Raw genomic sequence first — 21,699 nt, 5'->3', positions numbered from 1 at the left:
CCCTTCTTGGAAGGTGATGCTAGGGGGGATGAGCAACACCTTTCTTGGAGGTTTGAATTCTTCAGGGCCCCTCCAGCATCTTGGTCTTCCTAATTCCTCCCTTGATCCCCCAGCCCTAGGGGTGGTAGCTTCTTGCAGTGTTTACCTCCGTGTTAATCTGGATTCTCTCTGTCTTCGGAGTTCTCTAATGCCTGGTTACCAATTCTTTATATCAAGTTCTCTCCGTTAAAATCATTGTGGTGGGGTCCATCCCATGGATATACATGGAGGTCTGTGTGACAATGTATAATCTTACTATTTGCAGTTATTACAAAACTGTCCTAGAAGACATGAATGCTTGTTAAAAGAAATCTTTTAAGTTTCCTAGACTTCAAAGACCGTTGCTATGCCCTGTGAAACATCGCCTATATCCTTTAACAGTTTGCAATTCGAATTGGTTACTTACTTAACATTTTGTTGCCCTGGTGATACAATTATGTTGACTCGTTATTGTGAGGTTACTTTGTTATTAACCATGATGAGGATTACTAGCACATACTTTTACTCCATATGTATAACACAACAATGTAGTAAAACCAATAACTCTTGGTTCTCTATTCAAAGTGTTTGGAATCTTTATTCTGTTTAAAACACTGATGACATTTGCCAATTTTTGAGTGTTCTTCATGTTACTGATTTGTAGGAGCTCTTTATATATTGCAGATTTAGTCTCTTACTGGTTATGTATGCTGCACCTGAGGAGTAGCAGCACTGCCAAGGACACTGAGTGTCTTGTCTGTGCAGAGCTTCACATGAAGCTGGAGAGAAGGGACTGGGGCAAGAGGGAAAGATAAAAAGGGGCAAGTAAGTAACAGAATGAATCCTTGTTGCTAATCTCCTGGCCCCCATCCCAGACCCTTCAGGGGATCCTGGCGATTCGAAGCAGCATAGCCTGATAGGCCTCTGGTGAGGGTGTTGGGAGGGTTTTCTTGGCCGCCTGTTCCAGGATGCTCAAGATGATGCTGTGGGCCTCCTGGCATAGCTCAGCACCCAGGAAAGCCTCCACTCATCCACGCCATGCTGCCAGTCGTGGCCGTCCCTCAAACAGTTCATAGCCGAGAGCCACCGGCTGTAGGGACAAGGATGAAAAAGTTGTGGGCATACAACTTTCCCAGTTGTCACTGCCGACCCGAATGCTGGAACCATGGGCAGAAGTATCAGAGACATGGTCCATTCCCCAGCCCCTAAGTGAATGGACCACAGGGGCCCAGGCAGTATGTTCAGCCTTAGAGCCCAAGAGCAGCCAGGGTGAGACCCCACACCCAGGCAGGAGGCAGAAGTTCAGGGTTCTGGCCCCAGATCATCCAGAGACTTGCTCTATGATTCTGGGCAAAGTTCTGGCTTTCTCCAGGCCTCAGTGTTTCTGTCTGCCTCATGGGTGTGACACGAAGAGGGACACTGCCCACAGGCTGAGCTCACACCTGCATCAGCTCCTCCAGGGCCATGAGATCAGCCAGTGTCACCTGCTGGCCAGCGAGGAAGGGCCTGTCCCCCAGGAACTTGTCCTCCAGCCATTGCAGGGCCTGGTCCATGGCAGTCCTGTTGCGTTCCACCTTCTCCTCGGGCACCTGGACCCCAATGAGTGGCCCCAACATCTGATGGGGGCAGAGAGTGGGTCAGTCTATGGCCCCGGCCTACTGCCAACTACTCCCTGATGGCCAATCACTCTCCAGATGGCTCTCCTCACCTGGACCCACAGGGGTATACCAAAGGTGCCACGGATGCAGTCGGCATGCCAGCCCAGGTACTCATGAACACGGGCACGAGCCTGCAGGTCAGATGGATACCAGTGGTCCGGCGTCTGGTACTTACAGCTCAGGTAAATCAGGATGGCCGAGCTGGGAACAAATGGGCAGTGGCTATAAGGACACTGGCACCAGGCATTTACCCCTAACTGCTCCCATCTGCCAGTGGGGCCCGGGGGCTTCTCTGCATTTGAAGGACTGCCCTCCAGCCTCGCCCTCCATCTCCAGCTCCCCAACACCACCCCCTCCTCCTACGAGTCTCCTCCTGTCTTTGTTGCCTTGGGCACCGACTCTTGGCTGGACCTTCTGCTTTGCATTTTGAGAACCTCATCTCTGTGATATGCCAGCAGCCGCCCTGTGAGGTAGACACTCCTGTTAGCCTTTTAGCACAAGAGAAAACTCAAGGTCAGAATGGTCAAGTGACTTGTCCGAGGCGGTGCAGCTCAGAATAGGCTCCCTGGACCCCTGGAACCCTGCATGGGGCTGGCACACAGTGGATGCTCCGTGGAGTCCCTTGCATGTCCACGCGCTTGGGTCAGGGATCACGAGGGGAGGAATGTCTTTGGCCCCCGTCTGACAGGCCCCCAGCCATCACCTCTGCAGCCACCTGACCTCTTGTCCTTTTCCTGCCCAGCAGCTGGACCTCACCATGAGCTGTGCCCTTGGGCCATGGCATTGGCCTCTAGGCCCGGCCTGGGTAGATTGGGTAGTCTGCGACAAGTCACTAGAGGCTCTTTTCAGCTAGCATTTGTTGAACAAATGCGCAACAGTGGAAAAATGTTCCCTTGTCTTCTCTTCTAATACCCTTCAGTCTGGGAGTGGAGAGGCCCTGCGGCTCAGAAAAGGCTGAAGATGAGAGGTGGGGGGACATGTTCTGTCAGCCCCTGCTCATCCCGGACACACCCCAAGCTGTACCTTCTCCCCAGATACCTCTCCTTTCTTTCTTTCCTTTTTTTTTGAGACGGAGTCTCCCTCTGTCGCCCAGGCTGGAGTGGGCTCCCTCTGTCACCCAGGCTGGAGTGCAGTGGCGCGACCTCTGCTCATTGCAAGCTCCGCCTCCTGAGTTCACGCCATTCTCCTGCCTCAGCCTCCCCAGTAGCTGGGACTACAGGCGGCCGCCACCACGCCCTGCTAATGTTTTGTATTTTTAGTAGAGACAGGGTTTCACCGTGTTAGCCAGGATGGTCTCGATCTCCTGACCTCGTGATCCGCCCACCTCGGCCTCCCAAAGTGCTGGGATTACAGGCGTAAACCACCGCGCCCGGCCTTTTTGAGACGGAGTCTAGCTCTGTCGCCCAGGCTGGAGTGCAGTGGCGCGATCTCAGCACACTGCAAGCTCCGCCTCCTGGGTTCACACCATTCTCCTGCCTCAGCCTCCAGAGTAGCTGGGACTACAGACGCCCGCCACCACGCCCGGTTAATTTTTTTTTCCATTTTTAGTAGAGACGGTGTTTCACGGTGTTAGCCAGGATGGTCTCGGTCTCCTGACCTCGTGATCCGCCCGCCTTGGCCTCCCGAAGTGCCGGGATGACAGGCGTGAGCCACCGCGCCCGGCCAGATCCCTCGCCTTTCCCCTCCCTCGCTGCCCCATGGGGTATGGGAGGGCCATTGGGGCCCGGGGCCAGTGGGGAGAGCCAAGGTCACATGGGCTCCGGATGCGGTGAGGGGTGAGGGAAGGAGGGCATCTTTCGGTCAAGATGAAATCACCATCCTTGAGCGTCGGCAGTTTCCCCAGGCTGTTGATCTGCAAGAACTCCTTGCTCTTGTGCTGCCCTGAAGAAGAAGAAGTCAGAAAAGGTCTTCAGAGTAAAAACGCTGCACCTCTACACCCTCCCTCCTCCTCCCCAAGCGGAGCCCCACAGCCCTGAGAAACAGCAAGGTCTGGGACTAGAGGCCTGGATCAGCCTCACTCCCTGGCTGGGCCTCCCTGCCCTGCCACATTCCGGGGCAGCTGGGGGGTTTTGGTGGGTGGGGCCAGGTGCAGCAGGTGGATAAAGAGAAGTTTTCTAGCCGGACTCTGGTGGGCCAGGGGAGGGGAGGCAAACTGGGGTGGCTCATCTCTTCCCATCTCTTAATTCTCACAACAGTATGTCCTTCTTCCCGAGGTCTTCTGGGCTTTGTGAATTTATATGCGTGCATTCCACGCAAGAACTCTGTCAACTCCATTCAGTATTTTCTTTCCATCCCTACAGAGCAGAAGGTAACATTATCCTCCTTTTCAGAAGGCAAGCTAAGGTTCAGAGAGGCTGTGATCCCTTCAAGGCCACTCAGTCCACAGCATTCTCTGGTGGCAGACGCTGCAGGAGGAGGTGAGGGGGCTGTGCGGGCGGCGAGACGCTCAGGGCAGAGCAGGGCGGGGGCCTGGGGGTGCACTGGGTTTGTGGACACGCGGGGAAACGGGCTGGGCCCACCTTTGACCAAATCCACGGTGCGCAGCTCTAAGGGGATGCCATTCTTCTTGGCGAAGATGTAGACGGCGCGGCTGGGCTGGGACACCAGGTCAAGAAACAGCTCTAGGCCCATGGCGGGGGCGGCAAGGACAGCGGGGATGGCAGTGAAGGCGCTGAGCGCGGTGTGGGCAGCAGCTGTGGCAGGATCCCGGCGCGCCGGGAAATAGGGGATCAGGCCCCACCCCCTGGGGACAGCACCCAATTGGAGCGCACCACCCCCGGACCCGCCTCGCCCCTTCGGTTCCTGTCCAGTCCTGCCGGCCAAGACTCCACCACCAGATCCGTGCGTCCCTACAGGGAGGGCGGTCGCTATGAACGCACAGCTGGGAGGGTGGAGTTGGAGCTGGGGACCCTCGACTGGCAGGGAGGACGCGGATGCAGGGGGCCGACTGCAAGGGGAAGGGGAACCGGCTGGACAGGGAGAAGCAGGTCTGCTTTTCGGGATCCCGGTGCCAGGGACCCTGCCCAGTTCCAGGCGTCGCCCTGACCCAGAAACGACTGGGCGCCGCCGTCCTGGAAAGGCCCCAGCGCACGGACATCTGAGGGTTCGTTCAGAGCTCTGTTTCTCGGCGCTGCATGGTGGCGGAAGGGAGGGAGCGAATGGGATCCCCTAAAAGGGATCTTAGAGTTTCACCCAGTGGGATGTGACACTTGCAGGTGTCCCAAACTGGTGGGAACCTTGACTGGAAGGCTGGGGTTAAGGATGAACTTTCTGCCGTCCAGACTGTCCCCTGCAGAGCAGCTGCTGCCAGACAGCGGGAGCTGCCAGACAGCGGGAGCTCCCACTTCGTGCACAGGATGGGGGCAGGGAGCCCGCAGCCGCGGGAGGCAGGAATGACTGTCCGGGAACCTCCTTTCTTCTCCCTGAATCCCAGCCCTGGCATCTCACCAGGGGGCACAGTGATGGTCCAGGGCTGGGCCCGGGACTCTAGCTGAATCTTTCAGAGTATCCCATCCCTCTGGCCAGTGGCCCAAGCGAGTGAACCAGAATGCTTCCTTGGGAGTTTTGAAACTGGAACTGGAGAGAGGAGCTCCCTATGGGGAGGTAAACGGGAGCTGGGGCCACCTGTAGTGACATTTCCTGAGTTCGAGGAGTAGACGAGACTGAGAGAGAAAAGCTGACTCAGAGAAAGGGAGTGATAACAGGGCATGCTGGCCCACACCTGCAATCCCAGTTACTCTCACGGGATCTGTTTCTCTGATGTCTGGGTATGAAAGGACTTTCTAAGCCTCAGAACAGTGGGAGAACTCAACAAAGAAAAAACCAATACATATACAAGGTTACTTTGTGGAGGAAAAAATGGATTAACCTTAAGCAAAAAACTGGGAAGGATCTCGGTAAAAGATACGTCAGAAGGAAGTAATGTCCTTTAAGATGTTCTTAGAAACCCATCAGACAGGTAGGGTGTGGTGGTTCACGCCTGTAATCCCTGTACTTTGGGAGGCAGAGATGGGCGGATCAGTTGAGGTCAGGAGTTTGAGACCAGCCTGGGCAACACGGTGAAGCCCCGTCTCTACTAAAAATACAAAAATTAGCTGGGTGCGGTGGCACACTCGGGAGGCTGAGACAGGAGAATCACTTGAACCTTGGAGGCAGAGGTTTCAGTGAGCTGAGATCATACCACTGCACTCCAGCCGGGCCACTGAGCGAGACTGTCTCAAAACAAACAAACGAACAAACAAAAAGAAGAGAAACTCATCAGACGAAGACACAGGAAAAAAATGAGCGAAGGAAATCAGCAGAGGTTTCATTGAAGGACAAAGAGAAATGGTCAATACATGGATGAAAACATGTTTAACTTCAGTAATAATCAAGGAAGCACACACCAACACAACATGCACATACTGTTTTTATTTATCAAAGGCACACATATTTTTGAAATGAGTACTCCTAATTAATATGTACAGAGCACTTACCCAGTGCCCAGCACAGGGGTGGCACCCTGTGTGTGAGACAGCATGAAACAGGTAGACACGCGCCCTGCTGAAAGTAAGGGACCGCCTCTCTGGAGGATCCATCGGGCAATAAGGAGGTTTCCACACCTTAACTGTGTCTGCCTTGACCTCTGGGGCCTGGGAGCAGAGCCCCCTCCAGCTGGTGGGGAAGGAAGCGTGGTGTGTTTGAGGACAGAATGGAGAGAAGTTGAGTAGAGCAAGTGTAGACTCTTCCTATCCAAAGTGTGGTCAATGGACTGGGAGTATCAGCATCACCAGGGAGCTTGTTGGAAATGCAGAGGCTCAGGCCCCACTCTGACCTTACTGATTGGGAGCATAAACTGTAACCAGATTCCAGGGAGGATTCATACACACATTCCCGTTTGATAAGTGGGGGGTAGTAGGAGGTGAGGTGAAAAGTGGGGAGGGGATGGCTACCGCACTGGAGAAGGCTGGCTTTGTGTTGAGGCCTTTCTCATGAGGGCAGTGGGGAGCCATGGAAGGCTTTATGCAAGAGAGGGTACGGGCAGATTGAGATTACAGAAGGATCCCACTGGTTGCCTTGTGTGAGGACCCAGGGAGAAGGGGGAGGCTGTCCCTGTTTGAGTAGGAGATGAGAGCTACTGGTGGCTATGAGTGGAAAGAAGTGAGCAGAGGTGAGCAGAAATCCCAAGGACTGGTGATGATAGGATGATGGTGGGAACCAGGATGGGCTTTGGGCAGACCCTGACCCCTCTCTCTGCCTGTCGGCCCACCAGATAATAATCCCTGTGTTCCTGGGCGAGTCAGTGCCACCCGAGATGTTGGCGGCCACTTTGGCTGAGCTGGACGGATGCCTGCAGCTGCTCGAGGACAAGTTCCTGCGGGACCAGGCCTTCCTTACTGGGCCCCGTATCTCTGTGGCTGGCTTGGTGGCAATCACGGAGCTGAGGCATGAGAGTGCCATGGGGTGCGGTGGCCCGCTGGGCAGTGGTGTATCCGGGAAGGGAGCTGACATCCCAGCTCATGTTGTCTTTTCTGGCTGTGGGACCCTGTGTGAGTCACTTCTCCTTCTGAGCCTCAGTGTCCTCATCTATAAAATGGGGCTTTACAAACCCCTCACCGCAGCTATATTAAGAGGCTTCCAAGTGTCCCCAGGGAGGGGGACATCCTAGCCCATCACACACATGGTGGAGGAGGGAAAATCCAATCAGAGAACCCCTAAAGCAGGTCATGCTGCCTTACACTTGGCTATGCCCAGCCCCTCCGCTGACTCTGTCTTCCCCTAGCCCATCAGTGCTGGCTGCTGAGTCTTTGAAAGCAGACCCACGGTGGCAGCATGGTGCCCAACACGTGGAGGCTGCAGTGCGGGAGGACTTCTTCCAGGAGGCCCTCCCAGCTGTCCTGAAGGCCAAGGACCTGCCTCCAGTAGAACCTGCTGTTAAAGAGAATCTGAAGACCTTAATGCAGCTTTTCTTGCTGTGAGTGCGTGTCCCACACTTGCTGAGCCACTGAGGGGATGCTGTGTTGGTAGAATAAAGACATGGAGCTGTCCGTCTCCTTGGTTGAAGAGAAGACATATCTGCAAAGGCTCTGGTCCACAGTTCCTCCAGATATCATGCCTGCATTCCTTTTGTCTCCTACCCCATTCCATTCTAGCTTCCATGTGACCTCTGAAAAGAGCTTGGGCAAACGCTTACTTGACCCTGACCTTCTGTGTGGAACTTTGTATGGTTCCTCACTGCCCAGAAGCTAAAGTACAAGTCATTGAACTTTGCATTCAAGGCCTTGCTCCCACTCCTCCAGGTGGCCCCTTCTGCCTGCACACTCCTAACCCCTCTCTGGGCTCCCACCTTGGCCTCTTGGCCTCCGCTCATGCTGTTCCCTCCTCATCTTCGCCTGGTGCCCTTCCTGGTCTTTTGGCATTTGGCACCCTGTCTCTTCTCCAGGGAGACTTCCCTGACCTCCCCAGCCCCAGTCCAGGTCAGGCGACCTCTCTGGGCTCCTCAGCCCCAGTGTTTCCTTGCGGGGGATACCCCCGGACTGAGCATGTATCATCGATGAGGGGTGACCTGGTGGAAAGATGTCTGAATCAGGATCAGCCTTGGTCTCCTCGGTCTCTCTCCTCACTGTGGGGCGATGTTGTGTTCCACAAGTGGGGTGCAGGGCTGGTTCATGAACCTCCTTGCAGGAAGGGAAGTCCCTGGTTATTTCCTGGCCCTCTCCCATGCCTCCTCATAACCTTGACCACAGTCTTCTCTACACCCCACTCCCGGACCACTGGCTTGTCCATGCCCCACACCTGGTCCCAGACTTGCCACCTGTCCCTGCCCTCTCCCCTTAGGACTGTCATATTTACCTGTCGTGTGTCTCAGACCTTCTGATATCTGAGTCATCTAATAAACAAACTGCTAATAGGACAAGATCATGACAGACAGAGACTCTGTCGGCCTTTCAGTGGAGGCTCCTTTAAGTATGCACACTTATAGAGAATTTTATACACGTAGTTGAAATTGTACATATAAACTTGCAAATTTTTTCTTTCTTTTTTGTGGGGGAGGGGGGAGCCTGGGTCTCACTCTGTCATCTAGGGTGGAGTGCAGTGGCACAGTCATAGCTCCCTGCAGCCTAGATCTCCTGCGCTCAAGCAATCCTCCTGCCTCAGCCGCCCAGGTAGCTAGGACTACAGGCACACACCACAGCACCCAGATTTCTTCTTTTTTTTTTTTTTTTTGTAGAAAATAAAGAAGAGAATCTTGCTATGTTGCCTAGCCTGATCTTTAACTCCTGGGCTCAAGCAATCCTCCCTTCTTAGCCTCCCAAAGTGCTGAGATTACAGGTGTGAGCCACATTGCTCGACCACAACTTCAGTCATATTTGTAATGTACAATTCAAGTGATTTTGCCACACTGACCACACTCATGTTTAAGCCACGCCAACAGAGTTCCATGTTTTCTGATGTTTTTTCGAGATGGAGTCTCGCTCTGTCACCCAGGCTGGAGTGCAATGGCGCGATCTCGGCTCACTGCAACCTCCACCTCCCCGGTTCAAGCGATTCTCCTGCCTCAGCCTCCCGAGCAGCTGGGATTACAACGTCTGCCACCACGCCCGGCTAATTTTTGTATCTTTAGTAGAGACGGGGTTTCGTCATGTTGGCCAGGCTGGTCTCAAACTCCTGACCTCAGGTGATCCGCCCGCCTGGACCTCGCAAAGTGCTGGGATTACAGGCGTGAGCTACCGTGCCCGGCCTTTCCATGTTTTAAAGAACATATTTTGCCACCCCCTGGTGGACAGTGGCTCACCACCGGCACAAGAGGCTACACAGGCAGATGTCAATGGGGACCAGGCAGGGACAGGTATTGTCGTGAGCCTAGCCCTACCCGCGCCCCCGCGAGTAACCACATCTCCTGACTGCCCAAGCGCAGATTTCCATACTGAACATGAAATTGCCTGACTTCGAAATGGTGGCAAATCATTCAAAAAAACTTTAAGCTCCCGTTGTATTGGTTATTAGGGTCGAGCCTGGGGAAGACCCCTATAGGTGTGTGTGTGTCCTTGTGTGTCGGGGGTGTGGTGTTCAGACCTCTAATAGGGCTAGGAACCGGGCGACCACAGCGCGGAAGCTTGAGAGGGAAACCCACCTGGCGCCAGGCAGGAGGGTCGGGGGAGACAGGGTGGGTCCACTACCGGGTTAAAGACCTGTAGTGGGTGGGGCTACACGTAGGGCGGAGACGATGGGACTTCCGGAAATCAGCCGGCACACGTGACTTTTGTTTGCAGAAGCGGGAGGTACCCTAGGCAGCCAATCGGGGAGCGCCGAGTCTCTGTCCAGCCAATGAGAAGCCAGGTTGCTGTGGCGCCTCGCCCCTCCTCCCTGGTCCGCGAGCCTTGGGTACCCCCAGCTTTTCTTCCGCCAGAGCTGTTTCCGTTCCTCTGCCCGCCATGCCGTTCCTGGAGCTGGACACGAATTTGCCCGCCAACCGAGTGCCCGCGGGGCTGGAGAAACGACTCTGCGCCGCCGCTGCCTCCATCCTGGGCAAACCTGCGGACGTAAGCGTGGGCCGGGCAGCACGGGGCGAGGGGAGGTTGGTGGGCCAGGGGTCCGGCCCTGTCCCTGCTCCGCCTCCCCGACAGTGACCCCGAATCTTTTCCCCAGGGACCACTCCCCACTCCTTTCCTCACGCCAAGCTCTGACTTTCCGTGCTCCACGATCCCGCGGCTCCCCCTCCGCACGTCTTTCCCTTGTCGCCCTCCCCAGTCATGACCCGGGCGTGACCTTCAGGGACCGCGGCCCGTATCGGGATCCCTGCCCCGCGAACACTGCGCGTTTCGGCTTTCGCGCGCTCGGGTCCCGTCCCCAGAGGTAGCCCGGCCGGCTCCAACTTCGGGCAAAACTTTTCATGTCCCCCTCAGCGCGTGAACGTGACGGTACGGCCGGGCCTGGCCATGGCGCTGAGCGGGTCCACCGAGCCCTGCGCGCAGCTGTCCATCTCCTCCATCGGCGTAGTGGGCACCGCCGAGGACAACCGCAGCCACAGCGCCCACTTCTTTGAGTTTCTCACCAAGGAGCTAGCCCTGGGCCAGGACCGGTGCGTAGGGGTAGTAGGGGATCCATGTGGGACTGCCGCAGACTGGAGCCACTGATCCTGCCTCAGGGGGAAAAACCCATTTCTTGCCCTGCCCAGTAAGGACACATCAGGGTCTGGAGCTTTGGGGCCCCCTGACCCCTTAGGTTCCTGCTGTTAGGACCATCTTCAAAGTGCGAGCAGGATTGAATGAATTTCTGGCTCTGCTCCTCAGTGTGTAAGTCTGTGAACCGGGAAGGCTCTCTTTTAACACCCCCGGGGCAGTGCAAGGGTCATGTGGGATTGTCTGTGTGCTGTACCTGCCTTGGCACCTGACAGGGTAGGTACACGTGGCTGAAGTGTGATTTTCTAGAACTTTTCCAGGCTGGTCAGAAGGAATTCTGGGTATGTTCTGAAGTTACGTATTTTGGACCTGTGTCCCAGCCAGGTTCCAGGTGAAGTTCACGGGAGACTCACAGAGTAGTGAAAGACCATTGGCCTGGATGTCTAGACATCTGCTTTCTGGGTCCTGCATAGCTGGGGGACCCCAGACAAACTTGGAAATGAACCATCTCCAGTTGGCAACCTCCTCTTCTGTGAATACAGGGGAAAAGACCTCCCTCCCCCACAAGAAGCGTCTGCAACCCAAACCTGGCGTTCTGTGACCGAGTTAAAGTTTCCTCTTGGGTAAAAGATATTCTTGAGCCACATCCATGTCTAGGAGGAAGTAAGGGCATGAGAAGCTTGAAAGGACACTGTCCAGGCACGGTGGCTCATGCCTGTAATCCCAGCACTTTGGGAGACCAAGGCGGGAGGTTCATTTGACCCAGGAGTTGTAGACCAGTCTGGGTAACATAGTGAGATGCCATCCCCCAAAACAGTTTTAAAAATTAACCGGACATGGTGGTGTGCACATGTAGTCTCACTTAGTTGGCAGGCTGAAGTGGGAGGATGGTTTCAGCCCAGGAGGTTGAGGCTGCAGTGAGCTATGATTGCGCATTGCACTCCATCCTGTGTGACAGTGAGACCTTGGCTCACAAAAAAAGACCTTCTGAAATGGAGCCTTTGTTAGTCCATGAAGGTCGATGAGGAATGGCTGATCCTGCTGGGTCCTCCCTCAAGCTACAGAGGAATAATACAGTCAGCCCCCTGTATCACTGGGTTACGCATCTGTTGATTCAAACAACCATGGATTGAAATATTAGAGGAAAAAAAATTGATAATTGCATCTATACTGAAAATACGTATAGACTTTATTCCTTGTCATTATTCCCTAAACAATACAACTATTTACATAGTACGTACATTATATTAGGTATTATAAGTAACCCAGAGATTATTTAAAGTATATGAGAGGATGTGTGTAGGTTACATGCAAATATTACACCATTTTATGTAAGGGACTTGAGCAAATGTAGATTCTGGTTTCCTCTGGGGATTCTAGAACAAATCTCCCACGGATACTCAGGGAAAACTGTTACTCTAACAACAAGTGTTATACACTTACCATGTGCTAGGTCCTCTACAGGTACTTTACACTCATGATCCCATTTGATCCTTACAATCCCTATCCACTCTCCCTTTGCTCAGACAAGACATGCTATCCCCATGAGGTAGATAATCTCCATTATGCCAATTTTATGATGAGAAGACAGGCTGTTCATACTCCCGCCCGCCCCAACCAGGCTGTCCCAAGTTCTGGTTTTCCTCACTGGAAACTTGCTGTTACCTCTGAGAGGGGCATGTTCACTTATGGCCCAGACATTAGTGGCGGGGTTGGTGGGGTGGGGGGTCACCCTGTGCTCAGCCTTTGAGAAAACAGGTGGCTGAGGTACTGTGCCCTTAGGGAGCCTGCAATTAGGAGGCAGGGTACCCCTCAGTACACAAACTGATGGAGATGATAGAGTGTACGGCACACACACCGAGGCTACTGTATTGTGTGTCTGTCCTAGCTGGGTCATGATGTGCGGCTACCTCCCACACCTGAGTGTCCCACTGCCCTGCTGGGGGTTGGGGAAAATCATTATTGGGATGAGCAGGTTTGCAAAATGCCTGGTGGACTGAGGCAGGCTGTCCTGAGTACCCACAGTGGGAGTACCTGGCAGGGGTCTTGCAAGATGTGGTATTAGCCAAGGAGCTGATGATATCTTTTTCTCTGTCTCCTGAAGGATACTTATCCGCTTTTTCCCCTTGGAGTCCTGGCAGATTGGCAAGATAGGGACGGTCATGACTTTTTTATGATTGGGCACGGAGGGATCCAGGGCATCTGTGAACTGGCTGCTTCTTCCAGAGAGATCTCTTGGCAGAGTGAGGGCCTGGAGATAACCAGCTTTGGATTATCCCGCATGCAACATTCCTGTGATCACATAATCCTCTTCTTCATCCTCATATGAAATAAATGAAGAGAGCTTCCTCATTCAAACATGACTTCTTACCTTCTATTATCTCTCCTGGGCATCTGGGGCCACCATGGGCAGCAGGGCTGGTGGATAAGACCGTAGGGAACCTGGAGGGGGATGATTTAGACTGCTCAGATCTGGGGCTGGGAGACTCAGCCTGGAGGCTCTGCTCTCCACACCCATCTGCAGGCCTGTGGGAAGGTGTGAGCAGCTGGTCCAGCTGGGGCCTTCCTGCAGACTGCTGACCTGAGGCTCCTGTCCTCAGCCCCAAAATGGGACCAGACCTCTGTACTCCTCCTGAAGTCTACTCCCTCCATGACTGGCTGGGCAGCCTGCCACGCCACTCTCCCCTTTTCCCCACTGTAGAGTGGAGGCAGGGGTTGCCTGTGTCCCTTTGGGGGTTGGTCGCTGGTTTTCCAGAAGCAGGGTCCCCAGTCTGCCCCTCCTCCTCCCCAGGGTTGCAAGCTTCGACTCCCTCCCTTTGGCAAGACTCAAACCGTCCTCCCAGCTGCCCCATCACCCCTTCCTGGCAGTAGCACCACTTTTCATAACCTTTCCAGCCCAGGGGTCCCCAGGCTGGGAGGACAGCTGGGGGGATGAATGGCAGGTAAGGCTTCCTGTGTCTTCTCTCCTGTTGCAACTGTGCCACCTGCACACTTACACACTCATGGACACACCATGCACATACACACATCCACCCGCATCTAGTCACGATTCATCACATTCACACACATATACAATCATACCATTTACACACAGTTAACTCATGTACACACACATATACACCCAGTCACATAATTCACTCACATCCAACAAAGTCACACAACTCAAATTCACACATATAGACCAAATCCCCACACACGTACACACACACACACAATCACAGCATTCACTGACATTCATAGTCATCACACAGTTCACTCACACACACACATACTCCCCGTCACACACAGGCACACAATTCACACCAACAAAATCACAATTCACTTATCCACCCACATACTCAAATTCACACTGCTCACATTTACACACAATTCACTAAAATTCACGTATACACCCATGTACACAGTTCACTCACATCACACACATATACACCCACACATAAACACACAATTCACTCACACACAGTTCACTGACATTCGCACACATACACACGCACCACACAGGCAATTCAGTCACATGGCCAAAAGCCAGTCCTCACCTTGCTAGTTCCCTTCCCAGTGTCACCTCCGCCTTTGGCCCTCAGCGTCCCCTTCCCATGCCTGGACTGCTGGAGAGCCCTGAACACACCCCATCTTCATGCCTCCAGCACTAGCCCAAGCCCTTCCCTCTGCCAAGAGCACTAAGTGCAACTCAAGGTCACTTCTAGGGACCCTTCCCTGTCCCTCCTCCTGCCAGGTGACATGAGGATCCTGCTGGCCCTGCTTAACAATGATGCACACCACAGTTAGTTCAGCCGAGGTCGCTCTCCCAGACTTACTGCCACCTACACAGCACTGGGACTGACTGTTTAACTTTATTCTTTATTTCGTGTACTTTATTGGAGTGTCTGTTGAAAGCAAAACCATCCAATTAGGAACAATCCAAAGGCAGCCAGCATGGAGTGAGTGCAGTGGTGGAAACTCAGATTATTGCAGCCTCGACCTCCTGGGCCTAAACAAACCTTCTGCCTCAGCCTCCCATGTAGTTTGGATCACAGGCTCATGCCACCATGCTGGGCTAATTGTATGACTTTGTAGAGATGGGGTCGCACTTTGTTTCCCAGGGTGGTCTTGAATTCCTGGGCTTAAGTGATCCTCCCACCTCAGCCCATTTTGCAAAAGTGCTCATCCCGGTAATGAGCATTCCCCAACCCCCAGCAGGGCAGTGGGACACTCAGGTGTGGAATGGTGGCTGCACATCAGCATGACCCACCTAGGACAGACACTCAACACAGTAGCCTCATCGTGTGTGCTGCACACTCCATCATCTCTGTCAGTCTGTGGGCTGAGGGGCAATCTGCCTCCTCCTAATTGCAGACTCCCTAAGGACACAGTACCTCAGACACCTGTTTTCTCAAAGGTTGGGCACAGGGTGGCCCCCCCACCACTAATGTCTGTGCCATAAGCCAACATGCCCCTCTCAGAGGTGACAGCAGTTTTCAGTGAGGAGCGCCACAGCTTGGGACAGCCTGGCTGAGGGCGGGGGAGTATGAAGAGCCTTAGTCTTCTCATCATAAAATTGGCATAATGGAGATTATCTACCTCATGGGGATAGCATGTCTTGTCTGAGCAAAGGGAGAGTGGATAGGGATTGTAAGGATCAAATGGGATCATGAGTGTAAAGTACCTGTAGAGGACCTAGCACATGGTAAGTGTATAACACTTGTTGTTAGAGTAACAGTTTTCCCTGAGTATCCGTGGGAGATTTGTTCTAGAATCCCCAGAGGAAACCAGAATCTACATTTGCTCAAGTCCCTTACATAAAATGGTGTAATATTTGCATGTAACCTACACACATCCTCTCATATACTTTAAATAATCTCTGGGTTACTTATAATACCTAATATAATGTACGTACTATGTAAATAGTTGTATTGTTTAGGGAATAATGACAAGGAATAAAGTCTATACGTATTTTCAGTATAGATGCAATTATCAATTTTTTTCCTCTAATATTTCAATCCATGGTTGTTTGAATCAACAGATGCGTAACCCAGTGATACAGGGGGCTGACTGTATTATTCCTCTGTAGCTTGAGGGAGGACCCAGCAGGATCAGCCATTCCTCATCGACCTTCATGGACTAACAAAGGCTCCATTTCAGAAGGTCTTTTTTTGTGAGCCAAGGTCTCACTGTCACACAGGATGGAGTGCAATGCGCAATCATAGCTCACTGCAGCCTCAACCTCCTGGGCTGAAACCATCCTCCCACTTCAGCCTGCCAACTAAGTGAGACTACATGTGCACACCACCATGTCCGGTTAATTTTTAAAACTGTTTTGGGGGATGGCATCTCACTATGTTACCCAGACTGGTCTACAACTCCTGGGTCAAATGAACCTCCCGCCTTGGTCTCCCAAAGTGCTGGGATTACAGGCATGAGCCACCGTGCCTGGACAGTGTCCTTTCAAGCTTCTCATGCCCTTACTTCCTCCTAGACATGGATGTGGCTCAAGAATATCTTTTACCCAAGAGGAAACTTTAACTCGGTCACAGAACGCCAGGTTTGGGTTGCAGACGCTTCTTGTGGGGGAGGGAGGTCTTTTCCCCTGTATTCACAGAAGAGGAGGTTGCCAACTGGAGATGGTTCATTTCCAAGTTTGTCTGGGGTCCCCCAGCTATGCAGGACCCAGAAAGCAGATGTCTAGACATCCAGGCCAATGGTCTTTCACTACTCTGTGAGTCTCCCGTGAACTTCACCTGGAACCTGGCTGGGACACAGGTCCAAAATACGTAACTTCAGAACATACCCAGAATTCCTTCTGACCAGCCTGGAAAAGTTCTAGAAAATCACACTTCAGCCACGTGTACCTACCCTGTCAGGTGCCAAGGCAGGTACAGCACACAGACAATCCCACATGACCCTTGCACTGCCCCGGGGGTGTTAAAAGAGAGCCTTCCCGGTTCACAGACTTACACACTGAGGAGCAGAGCCAGAAATTCATTCAATCCTGCTCGCACTTTGAAGATGGTCCTAACAGCAGGAACCTAAGGGGTCAGGGGGCCCCAAAGCTCCAGACCCTGATGTGTCCTTACTGGGCAGGGCAAGAAATGGGTTTTTCCCCCTGAGGCAGGATCAGTGGCTCCAGTCTGCGGCAGTCCCACATGGATCCCCTACTACCCCTACGCACCGGTCCTGGCCCAGGGCTAGCTCCTTGGTGAGAAACTCAAAGAAGTGGGCGCTGTGGCTGCGGTTGTCCTCGGCGGTGCCCACTACGCCGATGGAGGAGATGGACAGCTGCGCGCAGGGCTCGGTGGACCCGCTCAGCGCCATGGCCAGGCCCGGCCGTACCGTCACGTTCACGCGCTGAGGGGGACATGAAAAGTTTTGCCCGAAGTTGGAGCCGGCCGGGCTACCTCTGGGGACGGGACCCGAGCGCGCGAAAGCCGAAACGCGCAGTGTTCGCGGGGCAGGGATCCCGATACGGGCCGCGGTCCCTGAAGGTCACGCCCGGGTCATGACTGGGGAGGGCGACAAGGGAAAGACGTGCGGAGGGGGAGCCGCGGGATCGTGGAGCACGGAAAGTCAGAGCTTGGCGTGAGGAAAGGAGTGGGGAGTGGTCCCTGGGGAAAAGATTCGGGGTCACTGTCGGGGAGGCGGAGCAGGGACAGGGCCGGACCCCTGGCCCACCAACCTCCCCTCGCCCCGTGCTGCCCGGCCCACGCTTACGTCCGCAGGTTTGCCCAGGATGGAGGCAGCGGCGGCGCAGAGTCGTTTCTCCAGCCCCGCGGGCACTCGGTTGGCGGGCAAATTCGTGTCCAGCTCCAGGAACGGCATGGCGGGCAGAGGAACGGAAACAGCTCTGGCGGAAGAAAAGCTGGGGGTACCCAAGGCTCGCGGACCAGGGAGGAGGGGCGAGGCGCCACAGCAACCTGGCTTCTCATTGGCTGGACAGAGACTCGGCGCTCCCCGATTGGCTGCCTAGGGTACCTCCCGCTTCTGCAAACAAAAGTCACGTGTGCCGGCTGATTTCCGGAAGTCCCATCGTCTCCGCCCTACGTGTAGCCCCACCCACTACAGGTCTTTAACCCGGTAGTGGACCCACCCTGTCTCCCCCGACCCTCCTGCCTGGCGCCAGGTGGGTTTCCCTCTCAAGCTTCCGCGCTGTGGTCGCCCGGTTCCTAGCCCTATTAGAGGTCTGAACACCACACCCCCGACACACAAGGACACACACACACCTATAGGGGTCTTCCCCAGGCTCGACCCTAATAACCAATACAACGGGAGCTTAAAGTTTTTTTGAATGATTTGCCACCATTTCGAAGTCAGGCAATTTCATGTTCAGTATGGAAATCTGCGCTTGGGCAGTCAGGAGATGTGGTTACTCGCGGGGGCGCGGGTAGGGCTAGGCTCACGACAATACCTGTCCCTGCCTGGTCCCCATTGACATCTGCCTGTGTAGCCTCTTGTGCCGGTGGTGAGCCACTGTCCACCAGGGGGTGGCAAAATATGTTCTTTAAAACATGGAAAGGCCGGGCACGGTAGCTCACGCCTGTAATCCCAGCACTTTGCGAGGTCCAGACGGGCGGATCACCTGAGGTCAGGAGTTTGAGACCAGCCTGGCCAACATGACGAAACCCCGTCTCTACTAAAGATACAAAAATTAGCCGGGCGTGGTGGCAGACGTTGTAATCCCAGCTGCTCGGGAGGCTGAGGCAGGAGAATCGCTTGAACCGGGGAGGTGGAGGTTGCAGTGAGCCGAGATCGCGCCATTGCACTCCAGCCTGGGTGACAGAGCGAGACTCCATCTCGAAAAAACATCAGAAAACATGGAACTCTGTTGGCGTGGCTTAAACATGAGTGTGGTCAGTGTGGCAAAATCACTTGAATTGTACATTACAAATATGATTGAAGTTGTGGTCGAGCAATGTGGCTCACACCTGTAATCTCAGCACTTTGGGAGGCTAAGAAGGGAGGATTGCTTGAGCCCAGGAGTTAAAGATCAGGCTAGGCAACATAGCAAGATTCTCTTCTTTATTTTCTACAAAAAAAAAAAAAAAAGAAAGAAATCTGGGTGCTGTGGTGTGTGCCTGTAGTCCTAGCTACCTGGGCGGCTGAGGCAGGAGGATTGCTTGAGCGCAGGAGATCTAGGCTGCAGGGAGCTATGACTGTGCCACTGCACTCCACCCTAGATGACAGAGTGAGACCCAGGCTCCCCCCTCCCCCACAAAAAAGAAAGAAAAAATTTGCAAGTTTATATGTACAATTTCAACTACGTGTATAAAATTCTCTATAAGTGTGCATACTTAAAGGAGCCTCCACTGAAAGGCCGACAGAGTCTCTGTCTGTCATGATCTTGTCCTATTAGCAGTTTGTTTATTAGATGACTCAGATATCAGAAGGTCTGAGACACACGACAGGTAAATATGACAGTCCTAAGGGGAGAGGGCAGGGACAGGTGGCAAGTCTGGGACCAGGTGTGGGGCATGGACAAGCCAGTGGTCCGGGAGTGGGGTGTAGAGAAGACTGTGGTCAAGGTTATGAGGAGGCATGGGAGAGGGCCAGGAAATAACCAGGGACTTCCCTTCCTGCAAGGAGGTTCATGAACCAGCCCTGCACCCCACTTGTGGAACACAACATCGCCCCACAGTGAGGAGAGAGACCGAGGAGACCAAGGCTGATCCTGATTCAGACATCTTTCCACCAGGTCACCCCTCATCGATGATACATGCTCAGTCCGGGGGTATCCCCCGCAAGGAAACACTGGGGCTGAGGAGCCCAGAGAGGTCGCCTGACCTGGACTGGGGCTGGGGAGGTCAGGGAAGTCTCCCTGGAGAAGAGACAGGGTGCCAAATGCCAAAAGACCAGGAAGGGCACCAGGCGAAGATGAGGAGGGAACAGCATGAGCGGAGGCCAAGAGGCCAAGGTGGGAGCCCAGAGAGGGGTTAGGAGTGTGCAGGCAGAAGGGGCCACCTGGAGGAGTGGGAGCAAGGCCTTGAATGCAAAGTTCAATGACTTGTACTTTAGCTTCTGGGCAGTGAGGAACCATACAAAGTTCCACACAGAAGGTCAGGGTCAAGTAAGCGTTTGCCCAAGCTCTTTTCAGAGGTCACATGGAAGCTAGAATGGAATGGGGTAGGAGACAAAAGGAATGCAGGCATGATATCTGGAGGAACTGTGGACCAGAGCCTTTGCAGATATGTCTTCTCTTCAACCAAGGAGACGGACAGCTCCATGTCTTTATTCTACCAACACAGCATCCCCTCAGTGGCTCAGCAAGTGTGGGACACGCACTCACAGCAAGAAAAGCTGCATTAAGGTCTTCAGATTCTCTTTAACAGCAGGTTCTACTGGAGGCAGGTCCTTGGCCTTCAGGACAGCTGGGAGGGCCTCCTGGAAGAAGTCCTCCCGCACTGCAGCCTCCACGTGTTGGGCACCATGCTGCCACCGTGGGTCCGCTTTCAAAGACTCAGCAGCCAGCACTGATGGGCTAGGGGAAGACAGAGTCAGCGGAGGGGCTGGGCATAGCCAAGTGTAAGGCAGCATGACCTGCTTTAGGGGTTCTCTGATTGGATTTTCCCTCCTCCACCATGTGTGTGATGGGCTAGGATGTCCCCCTCCCTGGGGACACTTGGAAGCCTCTTAATATAGCTGCGGTGAGGGGTTTGTAAAGCCCCATTTTATAGATGAGGACACTGAGGCTCAGAAGGAGAAGTGACTCACACAGGGTCCCACAGCCAGAAAAGACAACATGAGCTGGGATGTCAGCTCCCTTCCCGGATACACCACTGCCCAGCGGGCCACCGCACCCCATGGCACTCTCATGCCTCAGCTCCGTGATTGCCACCAAGCCAGCCACAGAGATACGGGGCCCAGTAAGGAAGGCCTGGTCCCGCAGGAACTTGTCCTCGAGCAGCTGCAAGCATCCGTCCAGCTCAGCCAAAGTGGCCGCCAACATCTCGGGTGGCACTGACTCGCCCAGGAACACAGGGATTATTATCTGGTGGGCCGACAGGCAGAGAGAGGGGTCAGGGTCTGCCCAAAGCCCATCCTGGTTCCCACCATCATCCTATCATCACCAGTCCTTGGGATTTCTGCTCACCTCTGCTCACTTCTTTCCACTCATAGCCACCAGTAGCTCTCATCTCCTACTCAAACAGGGACAGCCTCCCCCTTCTCCCTGGGTCCTCACACAAGGCAACCAGTGGGATCCTTCTGTAATCTCAATCTGCCCGTACCCTCTCTTGCATAAAGCCTTCCATGGCTCCCCACTGCCCTCATGAGAAAGGCCTCAACACAAAGCCAGCCTTCTCCAGTGCGGTAGCCATCCCCTCCCCACTTTTCACCTCACCTCCTACTACCCCCCACTTATCAAACGGGAATGTGTGTATGAATCCTCCCTGGAATCTGGTTACAGTTTATGCTCCCAATCAGTAAGGTCAGAGTGGGGCCTGAGCCTCTGCATTTCCAACAAGCTCCCTGGTGATGCTGATACTCCCAGTCCATTGACCACACTTTGGATAGGAAGAGTCTACACTTGCTCTACTCAACTTCTCTCCATTCTGTCCTCAAACACACCACGCTTCCTTCCCCACCAGCTGGAGGGGGCTCTGCTCCCAGGCCCCAGAGGTCAAGGCAGACACAGTTAAGGTGTGGAAACCTCCTTATTGCCCGATGGATCCTCCAGAGAGGCGGTCCCTTACTTTCAGCAGGGCGCGTGTCTACCTGTTTCATGCTGTCTCACACACAGGGTGCCACCCCTGTGCTGGGCACTGGGTAAGTGCTCTGTACATATTAATTAGGAGTACTCATTTCAAAAATATGTGTGCCTTTGATAAATAAAAACAGTATGTGCATGTTGTGTTGGTGTGTGCTTCCTTGATTATTACTGAAGTTAAACATGTTTTCATCCATGTATTGACCATTTCTCTTTGTCCTTCAATGAA

General features: G+C 53.8%; 2 protein-coding genes and 1 pseudogene across 7 annotated transcripts; 1 reads left to right on the top strand and 2 right to left on the bottom strand.

The window, feature by feature from the left end:
• Positions 1 to 589: 589 nt before the first annotated feature.
• GSTT2 (glutathione S-transferase theta 2 (gene/pseudogene)) lies at positions 590 to 4,371 on the bottom strand (annotated as a pseudogene). The gene is made up of 5 exons (NR_126445.2): positions 4,196 to 4,371; positions 3,470 to 3,557; positions 1,727 to 1,877; positions 1,461 to 1,634; positions 590 to 1,108 (listed from the first exon to the last, which is right to left on the bottom strand). The product of NR_126445.2 is annotated as a glutathione S-transferase theta 2 (gene/pseudogene), transcript variant 1, non-coding (transcript).
• On the top strand, positions 4,001 to 13,135 carry DDT (D-dopachrome tautomerase). Of its 4 annotated transcripts, none has more exons than NM_001397485.1 (4): positions 4,001 to 4,093; positions 10,066 to 10,198; positions 10,562 to 10,737; positions 12,882 to 13,135. In NM_001397485.1, exons 2-4 carry the CDS (start codon positions 10,091 to 10,093, stop codon positions 12,952 to 12,954), a joined length of 357 nt encoding a protein of 118 aa, NP_001384414.1. In that variant the 5' UTR covers positions 4,001 to 4,093; positions 10,066 to 10,090; the 3' UTR covers positions 12,955 to 13,135. The 4 variants fall into 4 exon arrangements, with proteins under 4 accessions (NP_001384414.1, NP_001346.1, NP_001077861.1 ...); NM_001355.4 differs by lacking the exon at positions 4,001 to 4,093 and adding an exon at positions 4,677 to 4,779; NM_001084392.3 differs by lacking the exon at positions 4,001 to 4,093 and having other exon boundaries at positions 10,064 to 10,198.
• On the bottom strand, positions 11,949 to 17,617 carry DDTL (D-dopachrome tautomerase like). 2 transcript variants are annotated; one of them, NM_001084393.2, is made up of 3 exons: positions 17,483 to 17,617; positions 16,944 to 17,119; positions 11,949 to 13,219 (listed from the first exon to the last, which is right to left on the bottom strand). In NM_001084393.2, the coding sequence occupies exons 1-3, from the start codon at positions 17,588 to 17,590 to the stop codon at positions 13,099 to 13,101; spliced, it is 405 nt and encodes a 134-aa protein (NP_001077862.1). In that variant the 5' UTR covers positions 17,591 to 17,617; the 3' UTR covers positions 11,949 to 13,098. The 2 variants fall into 2 exon arrangements, with proteins under 2 accessions (NP_001077862.1, XP_011528118.1); XM_011529816.4 differs by lacking the exon at positions 11,949 to 13,219 and adding an exon at positions 14,610 to 16,519.
• Positions 17,618 to 21,699: the final 4,082 nt, after the last annotated feature.

This window comes from Homo sapiens, chromosome 22, assembly GCF_000001405.40.
Source record: "Homo sapiens chromosome 22, GRCh38.p14 Primary Assembly".
Classification (NCBI taxonomy): Eukaryota; Metazoa; Chordata; class Mammalia; order Primates; family Hominidae; genus Homo; species Homo sapiens.
Note: the sequence above shows the minus strand (reverse complement) of the source record. Positions and strands in the feature narration are given on the sequence as shown.